Here is a 14530-nt window from a genome sequence, read left to right on the forward strand (position 1 = left end):
GCAGCCTCAGGCCTTGTCCTCTGTGCCCGAGATACAGGGGAATGGACAGATTGACCTTGCAGAGGAGTAAGCACGAGGACAGAGGCCATGCAGAGAGGCAGTCACCTCCCTGGAGATAATGTTGAGAACTCCATGCAGCCACCCACCCCAACCCCAGACCCTTTCTCATTCTCTTTCTCCAGTCCAAGGGGGGCATTTGAACTGACCCAACTTGAGTCACGAACTCATCCCTGGACCAGTCTGCAGTATGACTGGAGGAAGTGGTCAAGATATCTCAATACACTGACATGGCCCCTGGTACCCATCCCTACACATCCCCCCCTTCCCATGAAAGAGGGGGACTCAAGCTGTTCAGCTACCCCCTCCCCATATGGTATCTAATATAACTCTTAAATCTTTCCCTCCAGCACATGTTGGAGTATGAATCAGAAATTTCCAGTTGTTCCCAATACCCACTCTCCTCTCCTCCTTTACTAATAACTCCCCAGAAGTATGGCTGTACTCATGGCTGCAAGGTATAAAAATGGCATTTCCCAGCAGCTAGTTGAGGCCATGTGACAGTTCTGGCTATTGTGATCTGAGCAGAAACAATGTATATACTGTAAATGTACCACATCCTTAAAGAGAAGGGCACGCCCTCTCCTTCCTCTTTTCCTGCTTTTCACTGACTAGAATGCAGTTGTAATGGCAGGAGCTGGAGCAACCATAATGGACCACATATTGAGGATGGCAGGGCGATCAAATTGAAGGGCCCTGGGGTCCTGACTAATTTCATAGGGGAGAGCTATAATACAAGTAAGACAAAAACAAATGGCCACATTTAAGTGTTTGGTAATTCAAAGTCTTTGTTATAGAAGCTGCACTAATATTCTAACTGATACAGAGCTAAAGAGATCTTCAAGCCAGGTACAGTGGCTCACGCCTGTAATCTCAACACTTTGGGAGGCTGAGGCAGGAGGATCACTTGAGCTTGGGAGTTCAAGACCAGCCTGGGCAACCTAGCAAGACCTCATCTCTGCTACAAAAAAAAAAAAATTGAAAAAATTAGCTGGGCATCGTGACACACACCTGTAAGTCCCAGCTATTCAGGGGGCTGAGGTGGGACAATTTCTTGAGCCCAGGAGGACAAAGCTGCAGTGAGCTATGATTGCACCACTGCACTCCAGCCTGGGCAATGGAGCAAGACCCTGTCTCTATAAAAAACAAAAACAAGAGATCTTCAGTCCATTTCTATAGCACTTTCCAGCTATGAGATTTGGAGCAAACTACTTAATCCTTCTGAGCTTTCATTTTCTTAGCTGTCTGCCTATTTCCCACAATCATTTTATAAAATGAATGAAATAGCATTTAACAAAGCACCTAATATAACATTGACATATACTTGGGGTTCAGTTGATGTTGAAACTGACAGCCCAGTCATCTTTACAAAATACCAACCAGATCCCCTGCCCCCTTGATTCAGAATCTTCAAACATTCCCACTGCTCTAACTACAAACACCAAACCCTTCCTGTGGCCTGCAAAGCCCTGCCTAGCTTACCCAGCCTCTCTAGCCCAACCCTCCCCACCTCCCCCAACCCTCCCACCTCCCCAAACCCTCCCCACCTCCCCCTGGCTCCCTTTGCCCACACTGACCTTGCAGTCCCCTCACTCCCTCTACAAACATTGATCAAGGGTCTTCCACAGGCCAGACACTGTGCTGGGACTTCACACATACAGACCTGGAGCCTTGCTCTTGCAGACTTTACAGTCTAGTGAGGGAGAAAGAAAAAAAGAAGTTCACATAAATAAATAAGCATAGCTAACATTTACTGAGCACTTACTACCTGCCAGGTGCTGTCTGAGCTGTTTTTGCCTACATAAATTATCAACTCCTACAACCCTCTGAGTTAGGTGTTACTGTTATCACCCCACATTTTACAGATGTGGAAACAAGCACAGCAGGGTCAAGCAACTTGCCCAAGGTCACACAGCTAGTAGGCATGGAGCCAGAATTTGAACTCATGTAGTCTGACATCATAGCCTGTGCATTCAACCACGAGTCTGTCCTGCCTTCAAATTCATGTCAAATTACAACTGTGAAATGTGCTATCAAGGGAGTGTACGTGGGGTTCAGAGGCATGAAGACTCTCCTGCCCCTGGGCCTCGGCATGTGCTGTTCCCTCTGCCTGAAACACCCTTTCTTCCCTCTTTGCCTGACCAACTCCTGTTCACCCTTTGGATTCTGACATTCAGCACATGTCACTTCCTAAGGGACACCTTCTCTGCTCTCCCCAGAGCATCCAGATCCATTTAGAAACTCTTGCTCTATAAAGCACCCTTGCTCCAGTGCACGATCACACTGTGATTATATATTTGCTGATTCTTTATATGTTTTTCCTGATCCCACGAGACCCGGAGTGCCATGAGACAAACAAACACATTGTTGGTGCTCAGGGCCAAGTACAGTGCCTGTACATAGTAGGTGCTCAGTATGTGTCTTTCAAATCAGTTAATTAATTGGTTGATTGACTTACCCCAAGCTGGGCCTGCTGTCTCCAGAGCGCTAAAGCTCCGTTTCTCCTGGTGGTCTCTTGCTCTCCTCAAGGACTCCTACCCATGCCCCAGTGGCCTTGGCTCCTGATACCCTAAACCAGCCAGAATCCCCTGAGGGAGGGAGGGGTGATGGTTCAGCCAGGTCAGATTCTGCAAATGCAAGAGGGGCTGAGGGAGGGCCGGGGTGGGGAAATGACAACCTTACAGGCACCCCTTGGTTTCCCAGGGCCAGACCTGGGAAGGGGGTTTCCCAGAACCGATCTGGGAGTCAGGAAATGGAGCAGAGGTTAAGAGGAGGGGCCCAGAAGATGGACATCCTGTCTCGATGGCCAGAAATGATCTTTCAAACCCCATAAAAGCTGGAGCCATGGAGGCGGTTGTACCACCATCCCACACGCTGTGGTCTGGAGTCCAGAGCCGGCCAGATCAATATCATGTGAGAGGCTTTCTGCTCCAGCCTTTTCTGCTGCCAAGTGTCCCCAGAGGCCTAAGGAAATGGCGGAGAAGGCAAGAGCCACCAGAAAAGGAAAGGAAGCTCATGTTTCTCGATGCCCTGCAGGGCCAGCAGTAAGCTGAGCACCATGCTAGGTGCTGTGTGGTCATGCAGCCCTCCAGGATAGGTGTGACCCCATTTGACGGATAAGGAAACTTGGGCCCAGCCATGCCTATCCTCTTGGCTTGACCTGGATGAGGTGGTCTCCTGGCATGTGCCAGCAGCCATACCCAGGACAGAGCCTCGAAAGGGCCTTTTGCAGTCTCTGGGCCCAACATTTCCAGGTACAGGAGCTCACCCCTCCCAAAGCACCCCTTTCCATTTCAAGCATCTCCTCCCCGCTCTGGCCTCCCTGTGGCCCTCGTCTATTACATGGGGAGCCCAGAGAATGCTGACTGTTCCAGAGAGGAGGCCATCAAACATCGGAGGCCAGCATCCCATCTCAACCTCCCTGAAGCTCTTCTTCTCCAGGCCGAGGTCTCAGCTCCTTCAGGTGCTCCTTGAGGCCCTGACCCTTTTCTACCACACCCCAGCTTGCCCACATCCACATCCAGTGTGCACCAGGCCCCGCAGCTGATCTGATCTGCAGAGTTCATGGAGACATTCCCCTCCTTTGATCACGCCCTTCTGCTAACTAGTGTGGCAGGGGTCAGCTCACTGTGGGAGAAGCTCCCTGCCCCACTGATGACCCCATGACCCCTGGGACTGACTCATCAGTTAGCTGAACACCAGAATGCTTGGAGAGAAGGAGGTAGGAAAGCAGATGCCTGCATGGAGACGCAGCATATTCCGAGGGACTAGGTCTCTTGTGTACGTGTGTCTGTGTGTGTATGTATGGGCCTGTATGTCTGCATATCGTGTGTGTGTGCATCTGTGTGTCTCTGTGCATGTGTGTTCATGTGTGTGCATCTGTGTGTGCATGTGTATATGTGTGTCTGGTGTCTCTGTGTGTCCGTGTGTGTCTGCATGTCTTGTATGTGTGTGCATCTGTGTGTCTGTGTGCATGTGTTCATGTGTGTGTACATGTGTCTATGTGTGTGCCTGGGTATATGTGTGTCTGCGTGTCTCTGTGTGTCCATGTGTGAGTCTGCATGTTGTATGTGTGTGCATCTGTGTGTCTGCATGTGTGCTTGTGTGTGTGCATCTGTGTGTCTATGTGTGTGCATCTGTGTCTGTGGGCATGCGTTTGCACGTGTGTCTTTGTGTCTCTGTGTGCGCATGTGTGTCTGTGTCTCTGTGTGTACATATGTGTGTCTGCATGTCTTGTGTGTGTGCATCTGTGTGTCTGTGTGCATCTGTGTGGGCATGTGTATGCACGTGTGTCTGTGTGTCTCTGTGCACGTATGTGTGTCTGCATGTCTTGCGTGTGCTTCTGTGTGTGTGAGGGGATGTGTCTTTAGTCCTATACCTACTGTCAGTGTTTTTAGAATGGGCCATATCCTTCCCATGTTCTGACTGCTTGTAAATTACTAAGCACTAATAAATAGGCATTTTCACCAACTAACAGGGAAAATCCCAGTAAAACCAGTTTCTTAAAAGAGGACGGCAGACTTTCATTTCACCACCCCCACCACCCAGGAGGTATTGTGAAGCCTGTGGAGCTGAAATGAAGCAGCCTGCAAAGCCTCTTCCAGGCGTCCCCTCCCACCCAGCTCCGCAGGCCCTGGAGGTGAGTCCCATGAAGATATGGCCACGGCTCCTCCCCTCTTAGCCCACAGGATGCAGGAGGAGGGACATTTGAGGCCTGGAATTTTTAAAATACCAGTGGCCTCCACTCCAGATGGGAGGGGATGGCATCCTCCCACCCCAAAAAAGCGAGGCGGGATCTAAGCCAGTCCAGAGGGGACTTCTTCCCACTGTGACTTCCTCCGCTCCTCAGCTCCCCACCAGTCCAAGCACAGGTGCCCATGGGCCTACACACACACCCCTGATCTAGAAGAAGCCAATCTGAGGAGAGGGCTCCTAGTGGCTTTCAGCCTGGGCTGCACATAGAGTTGCCCAGGAGTGATTAAAATTCCCACTGCCTAGGCTGGACCTCAGACTGACCCACTCCGAATCTCTGGGGTGGGGCCCAGGCTTCAGCACTTTCCAGCAGAGCTTGAGGACAAGAGAGAGCCTGATAGCCGCCATCCCTCTGCCCCTCCTGTGCCCCCGTTGATGTTCCTGCCTCTTCCAAGGCTGGACTCTCTTCACACCCTGCACGCCTGGTGCAACCAGAGTTATCCTGCTCATCAGGACCAGCACTGGTCCCTACCTGGCCTCGGCCAGCCCCAGGCAGCAGAGATTCCAGAATCTCATCAATAAGGCAGGCCCCCAAGGTGAGGTCTAGGACTGCTTCTCTCCCATGGAGACCCAAACTGGGTCCTCACGTTTCAGGTGGTGTTGAGGCAGAGCCCGGGGCTGAGCATGTCAGCCTGGCCTAGTCCCAGCATGAGATACACACACAAGCAGCTCAAACTTCAGCACTTACGCAGATTTCCTGGGGATGTGGCTAACATGAAGATTCTGATCTGCAGGCCTAGGGTGAGGCCAAAGGTCCTGTCTTTCCTGTAAGCACCAAGTGATGTCGATGCCGATGGTACAGGGGCCACACTCTGCATAGAAAATGCAAAGGCGACTGGGAGCGGTGGCTCACGCCTGTAACCCCAGGACTTTAGGAGACTGAGACGGGTGGATCACCTGAGGTCTGGAGTTCGAGACCAGCCTGGCCAACGTGGTGAAACCCCATCTCTACTAAAAATACAAAAATTAGCCGGGAGTGGTGGCGTGTGCCTGTAATACCAGCTACTCAGAAGGCTGAGGCAAAAGAATCACTTGAACCCGGGAGGCGGAGGTTGCAGTGAACCGAGATCGCACCACTGCACTCCAGCCTCCTGGGTGACGGAGTGAGATTCTGTCTCGAAAGAAAAAAAGAAAAGAAAGAAAGAAAAGAAAAGAAAAAAAGAAAGAAAGAAAATGCAAAGGTCCTTTGGGTATTCTGTGTGATAATGTGTGTCAGAAGAGCTGCCCTTCCTCAACCAGAGCCCTCCACTGCTGCCCCATCCACTTCCTCCTCCTTGAGGCACCAAGAGCACAGCCACCTCACTGCTGAGTCCCCTGAAAGGCCAGCTGCATCAGCTCGGCTCACAGGCCGTAGCTTGTCTCTCTCATCAGACACTCCTCCCCTGTACCAGGCCCACCCCTGAGGTACCTACATCCCTCTGCAGCTGGCCAGTGTCAGGGGATGACCTCCTGACCTCCCCCATCACACACCCAGGAGCCCTGGTCCACACCCTGGGAAGCCAGCCTACAGTCTAGCCCGTGACCCCCTATCTGACCAGTGACATCAGTTTGGCTTCCCACTTGCCCATGGCTCATCAGAGTCTGTCTCTCCCCTCAGAAGCCAGCCCTGAGAGCAGAGAAAGAGGCAAGAGCTAGGAAGAGCCTGGCTGAGAAGTCAGCTCACCTGGGTTCGTAGCCTGGCTGGGCCACTTACCCCAACTCTGTGATTTTGAGTAAGTGTCTTCACCTCTTTGAACTCCAGTTTCTTCAACTGTGAAATGAGGACAAGGATAGCCCTTACCTCTCAGGTGCACGTGCGTGAGAAATGATACCCAAGTGCTTAGCACAGGCTCTCTGGCACGTAGCAGGTGTTGGCTGAGTGCCAGCCTTCACCGGTGGTGGTGATGCTGAGTACAAGTTCTGCCAGCTAGAAACTGTGTGACCTCTCAGAGCCTCGGTTTCCTTACTTGTCCCTGTGTATAACAGCGCCTACCTCATGGGTTTGTTGGGATGACTCAGCATGACGATACCTAACAGAGAGCAGGGTGCAAGACATGTTCAGTCTCCACCTTGGACAGGGTCTGAGTTTCCTGTGTCTTGTATCCCTCATAGCAACAGATTTCAAAGTATGATCCGGGGACCCCAGGGGTCCCTGAGACCCTTTCAGGAGTGTTGAGGTCAAAACCATTTTCATAATGCTATTAAGCCATTATTTGACTTTTTTTTGCTCATTTTCCCACAAGTATACAGTGTTTTCCAGAGGCCCATGATGGGTGATATTGCAACAGATTGTATGCAGAAGCTTATATAAGAATCCAGCTATCTCCTGCTAAGCCAGACATGATTAGGCCTTTAAAAACTGCAAAGCACATGGTGGCTCACGCCTGTTATCCCAGCACTTTGGGAGGCCAAGGAGAGAGGATTGCTTGAGCCCGGGAGTTCGAGACCAGCCTGAGCAGCATAGTGAAACCTCTTTTGTACAAAAAAAAAAATTAAAAAATTAGCCAGGTGTGGTGGCGCACACCTGTGGTCCCAGCTCCTTGGGGGCTGAGGTGGGAGGATCACTTGAACCCAGGAGGTGGAGGCTAGTCATAGCGAGCTATGATTGTGCCACTACACTCCAGCCTGGGCGACAGAGCAAGACCCCGTCTCAAAAATAATAATAATAATAATGCAAAGCAAAGTCACCTTCTCACCCAGTGCTTTTTGTTTTAGAAAATATTATTTCTCACAAAAATGCTCTCTATATTAACATGTGATGAATTTATCACTATGGAAGTGAATTAAGTATTTTTAATGTTCTCAGTTTTAATTTATACTATGGTAAAAGATCAAAAGATATAATCCTTCTAAACAAAAGCCCTTTGGGGTCCTGAATAATTTTAAGAATGTAAAGGAATCCCAAGACCCAAAAGCTTGAGAAGGCTGCCCACACGAGGACCGTGAGGGTCACTGAGGGGGCTCAGCACAAACCTGCTCAAATAAGCTGATCTGAGCCTCCTCCAGCCACATGGTGAGCTCAGTGGAGAGCTAGCACCACGTCACTGAGTATTTTGGATCTCCCAGAGACCCCTGTGCTGTGCTAGGCATGTCTCAATAGGTCCCACCCCCAAACTTTCTGAATTCCAAAGAATTTGCCCAGGAGCCCTGGGCCTAGTGCACGAGTGAACCACACATTTGCCACTTGATGGGCACAGGCCCCAATAGATGTTGCCTGACAACCCGTGTTCCCCCTGTCTCTGACAGACCTCACTCCTTCCGGGATCAACCACTTCCCCATTCTCAGTCCCCGTAGTTTCAGAAGGCTCCAGAGGCAGTTGCGTGACCCAGATCCGGATAGAATGATTGGTTTCGAGTTAATCATATGAGCCAGGCAGGATCCAGATCACAGCCAATGATCGCATGTCCCAGTTTCTTGCTGAGAACATTGGGAGAAAAGAGCCCCCCTTTCTCCTAGAGCTACCGAGCTGGTGGGATGGAAGCCCAGAGCATCTGGGGGCACCGCCACTCAGATACAGCTTACCTGAAAGTTAAGCCAACTCAGAACCAAGTGATGGGGATGAATTCCAGATTCTACCATTTGAGCCCTTAAATGCAGCTAGGCCTGGCCTTCTCAGTCACTCGGGCCAAGAAACTTATCTTTTTCTTAAACAAGTTTGAGTTGAGTTTCTCTTGCAGCTGAAAGAGTCCAAATGAATAAACACAGGGAACCAGAACCACCACGCAGATGGTGGGGAGGCCGCTGGGAGGATTTGAGCTGTCCACTAGAGGCATCGCTGAAGCCCACCTGGATCTCTGGAGAGGCCCCTTTTTGCCCACCAGAGACATGGCAGACCCCTGTCCGAACAACACAGATAGATAACGGCACAGAGTTTTCTTTAACTTTATCATTTATAAAGCCATACAATGCATTGCAAAGAAACAAAGCAGCTGTACAGGAGTGGGGACGCGTCAGTGTACAATACATTCATGTCCAGGATAAGGAGCATACACCAGGATTTATACACGGTGGCAGCGGCTATAGGCACGATGATACAAAATATAAAGTATATTTCCATCTATATAAATACACAGCTGGGGTGGGGAAGGATGCTGGGTGATCTTGTTTCCCCCGCAGAGGGCCTGGGAGGCAGGGAGGGTGGTGGGAAGGGATTTCTTACATTTGTTCTCAATGATGGGTCTGAAGGGAGGAGAGAAATGGGGAAACACAGCCTGCACACACTGATGTGCTCTCACACACACGCACAAACAAAACACAGACACAGGAGAGTTTCAAACAGCTTAACACTGATTGGAAAACAAGCTTGGGACATCCCTCTACAGTAACTCCACTGCTGGCAAGAGCCCAGGCGTGGGATATGAACAGAGGTCCTCCAACATTTTGGACATTTGAGGACAGAGGTGCCAAGAGGGACAGATCTGCCCGAGGCCCCCACCCTGCCCCTCTGGGTGAACCACTTCTCACCTGGGCTATCGCTGAGACTCCACCAATTGGTTGGCCTACAGGCCTCACCTCCCGACTCCCCTCACTGCTGGGCGACATTGAATTTGAAGTTCCATTGCCCAGCACCTCCAACCCCGACTCCCAAGTTCCCTAAAGAAATGAGCAAAACACACGCACACACATACATCCACACTTGCACATGCGCACACACGTCCTGTGTTACCACTGGCCAAGGAAACGCGAGTCTCAGGATTCCAGGGCCTGGACCTGGGGTAAAGGGCTGCTCTGGGACTCTGCCCCCCAACCTCTTGGAGGACCCCGAGTGTGGGGGCAGGATTGGGTGTCTGCCTTGACTCACAGGATCTCCCCAGGTCCTAAAGCTGAAAAAAAAAGTGGGAGAAGATCCAGGAGGCAGGGGTGGTGGACAAAAGTAGGAGTGAGACTAAAAAGTGGGAGTGAGACTAGATTTGATCACACTCACCACCCTTCTGTGCCCCCTGGACAGCATGCTCCCCTGGAGCCCCTGCACAGGCTCATCAGAACAAGGCAGAATCTCCTACTCACTAACCTCCTGAGAGCCGTTTATAGGGGGATCACACTTGTCCAGGAGGGCTGCCCCTCCTGCTTTCACACAACCACTGGCCCCACCATCCCTCTCCTGGCCAGTCTCAGAAGACCCAGGGATCCTCAAAAACCAGGGGAGAAGGAATCCTGGCCATTGGTGTCCACAGCTTTCAGAGCTACTGGAGGAGACGCTCAGATGACATGGGTCAAAGGCCTTTCCCAAACTTAGGATGTGATGTATCTGTCCCTTAAGCGCCTGGCTAAATAAGAGAGCCAGAACACCGTGATAGCAGGCTGATCAAACCGCTCACTTCCTCCCTGTTTTCCTTCGCAGGTCCCCTCTCCATTGTTTTCTCGCCCAATCCTTCCCTCTTGCTCCCTTTGGGAAAAAGCCACGTGGAGCTCACTGGGCCCCTCCCCCAGCTGAAGGGACATGACCCTCCTCTGCCCTCTTCCCTCCAGACACCCAGCTGGACAGCTGGTGGCAGCACGGGACTGAACCTGCTGGGGTCTGCGTCGCTGCGATGTCCATGACTCCCTGGCTCTTTGTTGCCCATCTTCTCCCAGACCCTTTCCCATCCCAGCCCATGTTCAAGGCCAGACAGCGCTCTCCTGGCTGACACACAGATTCAACAATAAACAACAGTAAAATAGATTCAGGGAGGGAGAAGACAGAAGAAGATAAACATTTACAAAATAATAATTAGTAAAAGTGCTTGCTTTTAAAGGAAATCTTTGGCAAGAATATACTGCAGTGCGGAGTGTTGTGTGTGCGTAGGTGTGTGCATGGGTGCACAGCCCGCCGTGACACAGAAGGGCTCTGGTGCAGGGCCCAGAGGTGGGGCCACTGTGGGGACTGGGGAACCCTTCCCCATCATTCGCCTTGAAAAGTCACACTCTCAGAAACTGACTCCTTCCGCAGGGATGCTGGGAGGGAGTTACCAGCTTTCTGGCATGAATGGGTCCTCCCGCAGGGGCACACATGGCTCAGGCTGGAGTGGAGGGGCTGGCCATGCATGCAAGGTGGGCTGTGGTGGGTGGTGAGGAAGGGAAAAGCGACCGTGAAAGCTGACCCCAGACTCAGTCCTGGGCCCCAGCCAGGCTGCTTGAAGGGTCTGATACACCGCCCAGCCTCAAGTGTGGACAGAACATCCATGCCAGGAATAGGCTCCTGGGCTCTCCAGTGGGAGATGAGATATTTACAAAGGAAGGGGATGGGAAATATCTCCTATCTTGGAAGATAATTGGGGTTTGCTAGGGAATGAGGAGAGGGGGAAACCCAGATATTTGGCTTGAATAACCCAGAAGGAAGAGCACTTTGGAGGGACTTTGGTCACCAGGCACAAGGTTTCACTCTGGGAAGCAGGGGGTGGCCAGTGGGGCCTCTGCCCCTGCTCTCCACCTTCTGCAGACACCCTCCTTTCCAACTCCCTGAAACAGAACGTCCACACTGACACAGCTCCTTGGAGGAGAAAAAATACAAAAGACACACACGCACCTATGTGTGCCATACACACCCATGTCCCCGCATGCTCACACACTCGCTCAGGCCTGCAGAGTCAGGGACAGCTCCCCACACATCCTGGGAGCTGACTGCTGGGCCCCTGGCTTGCTGAAAAGTAAGGGGGCCAAAGGCTGGGACATGTGCAACCCCTCCCAATGCTGAGCCCCACACAGTCTAGGGAAGGCCAAGGCCAGGGCAAGGAGACCCTGGCTGCTTCAAGAACAAAGGCCCCCTACACTTCAGGCTTTACTTACACATATAAAAAAGGATAGGAATTGGTTTATCCCCAAGGAAGGCAATAAAGCAATATGGAAAAACAATAAATACTTCTTGTCAATTTACCTATTCTTTTTTTAACCTTTTCTTACATTTTATTAGCTTACAGATTCTGTCAGTATGTCTCATGTATATATTATATAATATTTATATATCAGTACAATGCCTCTCTCTAGGGGACTCGCATAGGCTTAAGAATGGAGTCCTGGTGAATTTTCCATTCTGGCTTAGAGTCCTTAAATGGTGGTCAGGTGTTTTCCCAACTGTCCAGTGGACCTTAGGCCCTTTGGCCCAAGTGCAAGCCTTCTGCCCTCTGCTGCATGGGCAGCGTGGCTCAGCTAGGGAAACCAAGGCAGAAAGGGTGACAGTGAGGCTTTGGCATTGTAGGTAGGCGATGTGGTGTGCAGGCAGCAGGCCCAGGAGCTCTGCTGAGGTCAGAGGGTGCCTGCAAAAGCCAGACCCTAAAACACTTACAGAGGGGAGGATAAGGACTCCAGGTTTCTGGCCGGAGCCTCACTGAGCAGAAAGTAGGTTCCCCAGGGAGAATTCCAACACAGGGACCCTGCAGAATAGAACAGGGCTGGGCAGAGCAGCAAGACTCAATCCCCAGCCCCCAAAAAGGCATCATGCAGGTAAGCAGGTCTGAGATAAGGCTGGTCCAGGGGCATGAAACCCAATAACAAGGCTGAGAGGTGGGAGCTAAGGCAGAGTCCAGGGCCCCAGCAGGAGCAACTTGCCTTTCTTGCTGCTGAGCCACATGCCTTGGGGAAGACACCCCGAGCTCAACAGCTGCCTGTTCTGACAGATCTCTTCCTATGGATACACATATCTCTACCTCCTCAAACCAAAGCTCCAGGCTTCTGGCCAAGGCAGGACAGGGCGATGCCATTGCAGACCCTCCCACTCCTGCTGGGGTCTTTGTAGAAGAGAAGGGTCTGGCGGCACCCAGGGTCACTAGAGTGCAGGTGCAGGCACCAGGAGAGAGCCTCTGTCACCCATAGCTTGGTTGTTTGTCCCTCCCCTGCTGCACTGCCACCACCAACCCTAATCTTTGGACAGTATGCATGTGTGTCTACAAACACATGGGACAAGGACAAGCCGAGCTGTTTATAATTCGAGTGGATAAAGGCAGATCTAGATCAATGTGTGAGGATGTGGGTGCAGACACACACCCACACGACAATATAGTGGAGGCACAGCAAAGAGACCTGAGGTGCCTTGGGTCTGAGATACTTTCAAGCAAACAAGTTCTTCCACTTGATGTCCCACGGTGGCTCTGTTTGGTTTGACAACCTACCCCACAGGTGGCCAGAAAAAGATTCTCCCAGCTTGATTTCCCCTTGCAAAGCAGTTGAGTTAGGGAGACAGAGCTTTTCCATTCCCCCAAAAAATGTGGATTCCCAAGGAGGTTTGTTCCTTCTCTTTTGAGGACATCCATCTTCTTAGGGGAGGGAGGGGGTGTTAGGTGGACCTGGTTAGTTTTGGAGGCTTTGGGTTTTTGCAGTTTCCATCTACCCAGGGGAATCCAAGTTCTTCTCCTCCATCTTTCTCTCTCTCTCTCTCTCTCTCTCTCTCTCTCTTTTCCCCCTCCCCTCTGCAATTCACTTCCCTCTCCCCACGTTGCACTTTCTTCTCTCCTCCGAAATTGGCCCAAAGTCCTCCTTCTGGGTTCAAGAGTGGTCAGGATTCATGGGTCCCCTCCCCACAAGCCCCTTCCCCATGGCACTGGCCCTGGGCAAGGGGCAGGGTTCATCTCTTTTGGCCGGCATTCAGCATGACCTTGGAGACGAAGTTGACGATGGCAGAGGCCGGCTGGTTGGGGTCAAGCTCAGCAAAGAGGTGGCAGGCGTTGTCCGTGGTGCTGCCCTGCTTCCGGGCCACGAAGCCGAAGAGCCTGCAGGCGGGAGAGGGCAACGGGCATGAGGGAAGGGCAAGTGGAACCCCAGGAGGTGGACAGCAGCCCAGGTGAGCAAGCTGGTCTCAGGCCAACCTCTCTTCCCCATCCCTCCAGCAGGCCTCAGCATCAGGGACTCAGAGAGGTGCAGAAGAGAATCCTCTGTGCACTCCCCTGACCACAAGCCAAGTCCTAGAGACAGTGTCCCACCTTGTTTAAGGGTGGGCAGAAATCCCCTTTGAAGGGGTGCGAGGGGAGCTGCAGAGGATTGACAAGGCTGGATAGTGAGGGGTGGGGAGGAGACCAAAATAAAATGGGAACATTCCTAGACAGGCCTCTCCCCGCCCATCCCAGCCCTACCCCTACTGACTGTTCTTACACACAACACATATGCCAATCAGGAAAGTGCTGTCTGCCTGCAAACGGCTCAGCCTCCTCAGACACCACAAGGTCAGGGAGACAAAGGTCAAGTAGCTCACACCCCTCCACACACACACACTTATTCTTCCTGGGCTCAAGAACCTTGGAAGCCAGAAAATAAAAGGGAAGGTGGACCCCACACCCGTTCCCCACCCCCACCCGCAGGACTGGAGTGACCCAGCATTCTCTTCGCAAAACAGAGTTAAAAATATGAGGGCAGAGAACAGAATGTGAGCTCAGGTCCCCTCCCAGCCAGCATGTTGCTAATTAGAGCGAGATGGGGAAATGAGGACAGCTGGAGATTCCTATGAAAACCCCTCTCCCTACCGCAGGACCACGGCAGCTGAAGTTAGCAAAGGGGGATTCTGCTGGTCCCTGTGTGCCTGTGTGTACAAACCACCACACACATGCACCACACACATACACACCATCACACACACCACCACACACACCACACACACCACACACACACCACACACACCACCACACACACCACACACACCACACACACCACACACACCACCACACACCACACACACCACCACACACACCACACACACAACACACACCACCACACACCACACACACCACACACATACACACCATCACACCCACACACATCACACACACACAACACACA

General features: G+C 51.8%; 1 protein-coding gene across 28 annotated transcripts in view, besides 3 other annotated features; it reads right to left on the minus strand.

Annotated features, from left to right (window-relative positions):
* Positions 5157 to 5657: an enhancer, noted in NCBI's record as "H3K4me1 hESC enhancer chr2:218661013-218661513 (GRCh37/hg19 assembly coordinates)". NCBI's record gives its function as "activates a minimal SCP1, AML or CMV promoter by ChIP-STARR-seq in naive H9 embryonic stem cells {active_cell/tissue: H9 hESC(naive)}" and the evidence as "EXISTENCE:reporter gene assay evidence [ECO:0000049][PMID:30033119]".
* Positions 8077 to 8146: an enhancer, noted in NCBI's record as "active region_17108". NCBI's record gives its function as "activates an Ori minimal core promoter by ATAC-STARR-seq in GM12878 lymphoblastoid cells {active_cell/tissue: GM12878}" and the evidence as "EXISTENCE:reporter gene assay evidence [ECO:0000049][PMID:35858748]".
* Positions 8177 to 8226: an enhancer, noted in NCBI's record as "active region_17109". NCBI's record gives its function as "activates an Ori minimal core promoter by ATAC-STARR-seq in GM12878 lymphoblastoid cells {active_cell/tissue: GM12878}" and the evidence as "EXISTENCE:reporter gene assay evidence [ECO:0000049][PMID:35858748]".
* TNS1 (tensin 1) overlaps positions 8658 to 14530 on the minus strand; it is a 234192-nt gene continuing 228319 nt past the window's right edge. For all 28 annotated transcript variants that reach the window (XM_047445637.1, NM_001438865.1, XM_047445639.1 and 25 more), the window contains one exon: positions 8658 to 13470. In XM_047445637.1, coding sequence (XP_047301593.1) covers positions 13326 to 13470 — 145 coding nt within the window. In that variant the 3' untranslated portion in view covers positions 8658 to 13325. The remainder of the gene's footprint in view (positions 13471 to 14530) is intronic.

This window comes from Homo sapiens, chromosome 2, assembly GCF_000001405.40.
Source record: "Homo sapiens chromosome 2, GRCh38.p14 Primary Assembly".
NCBI lineage: Eukaryota > Metazoa > Chordata > Mammalia > Primates > Hominidae > Homo > Homo sapiens.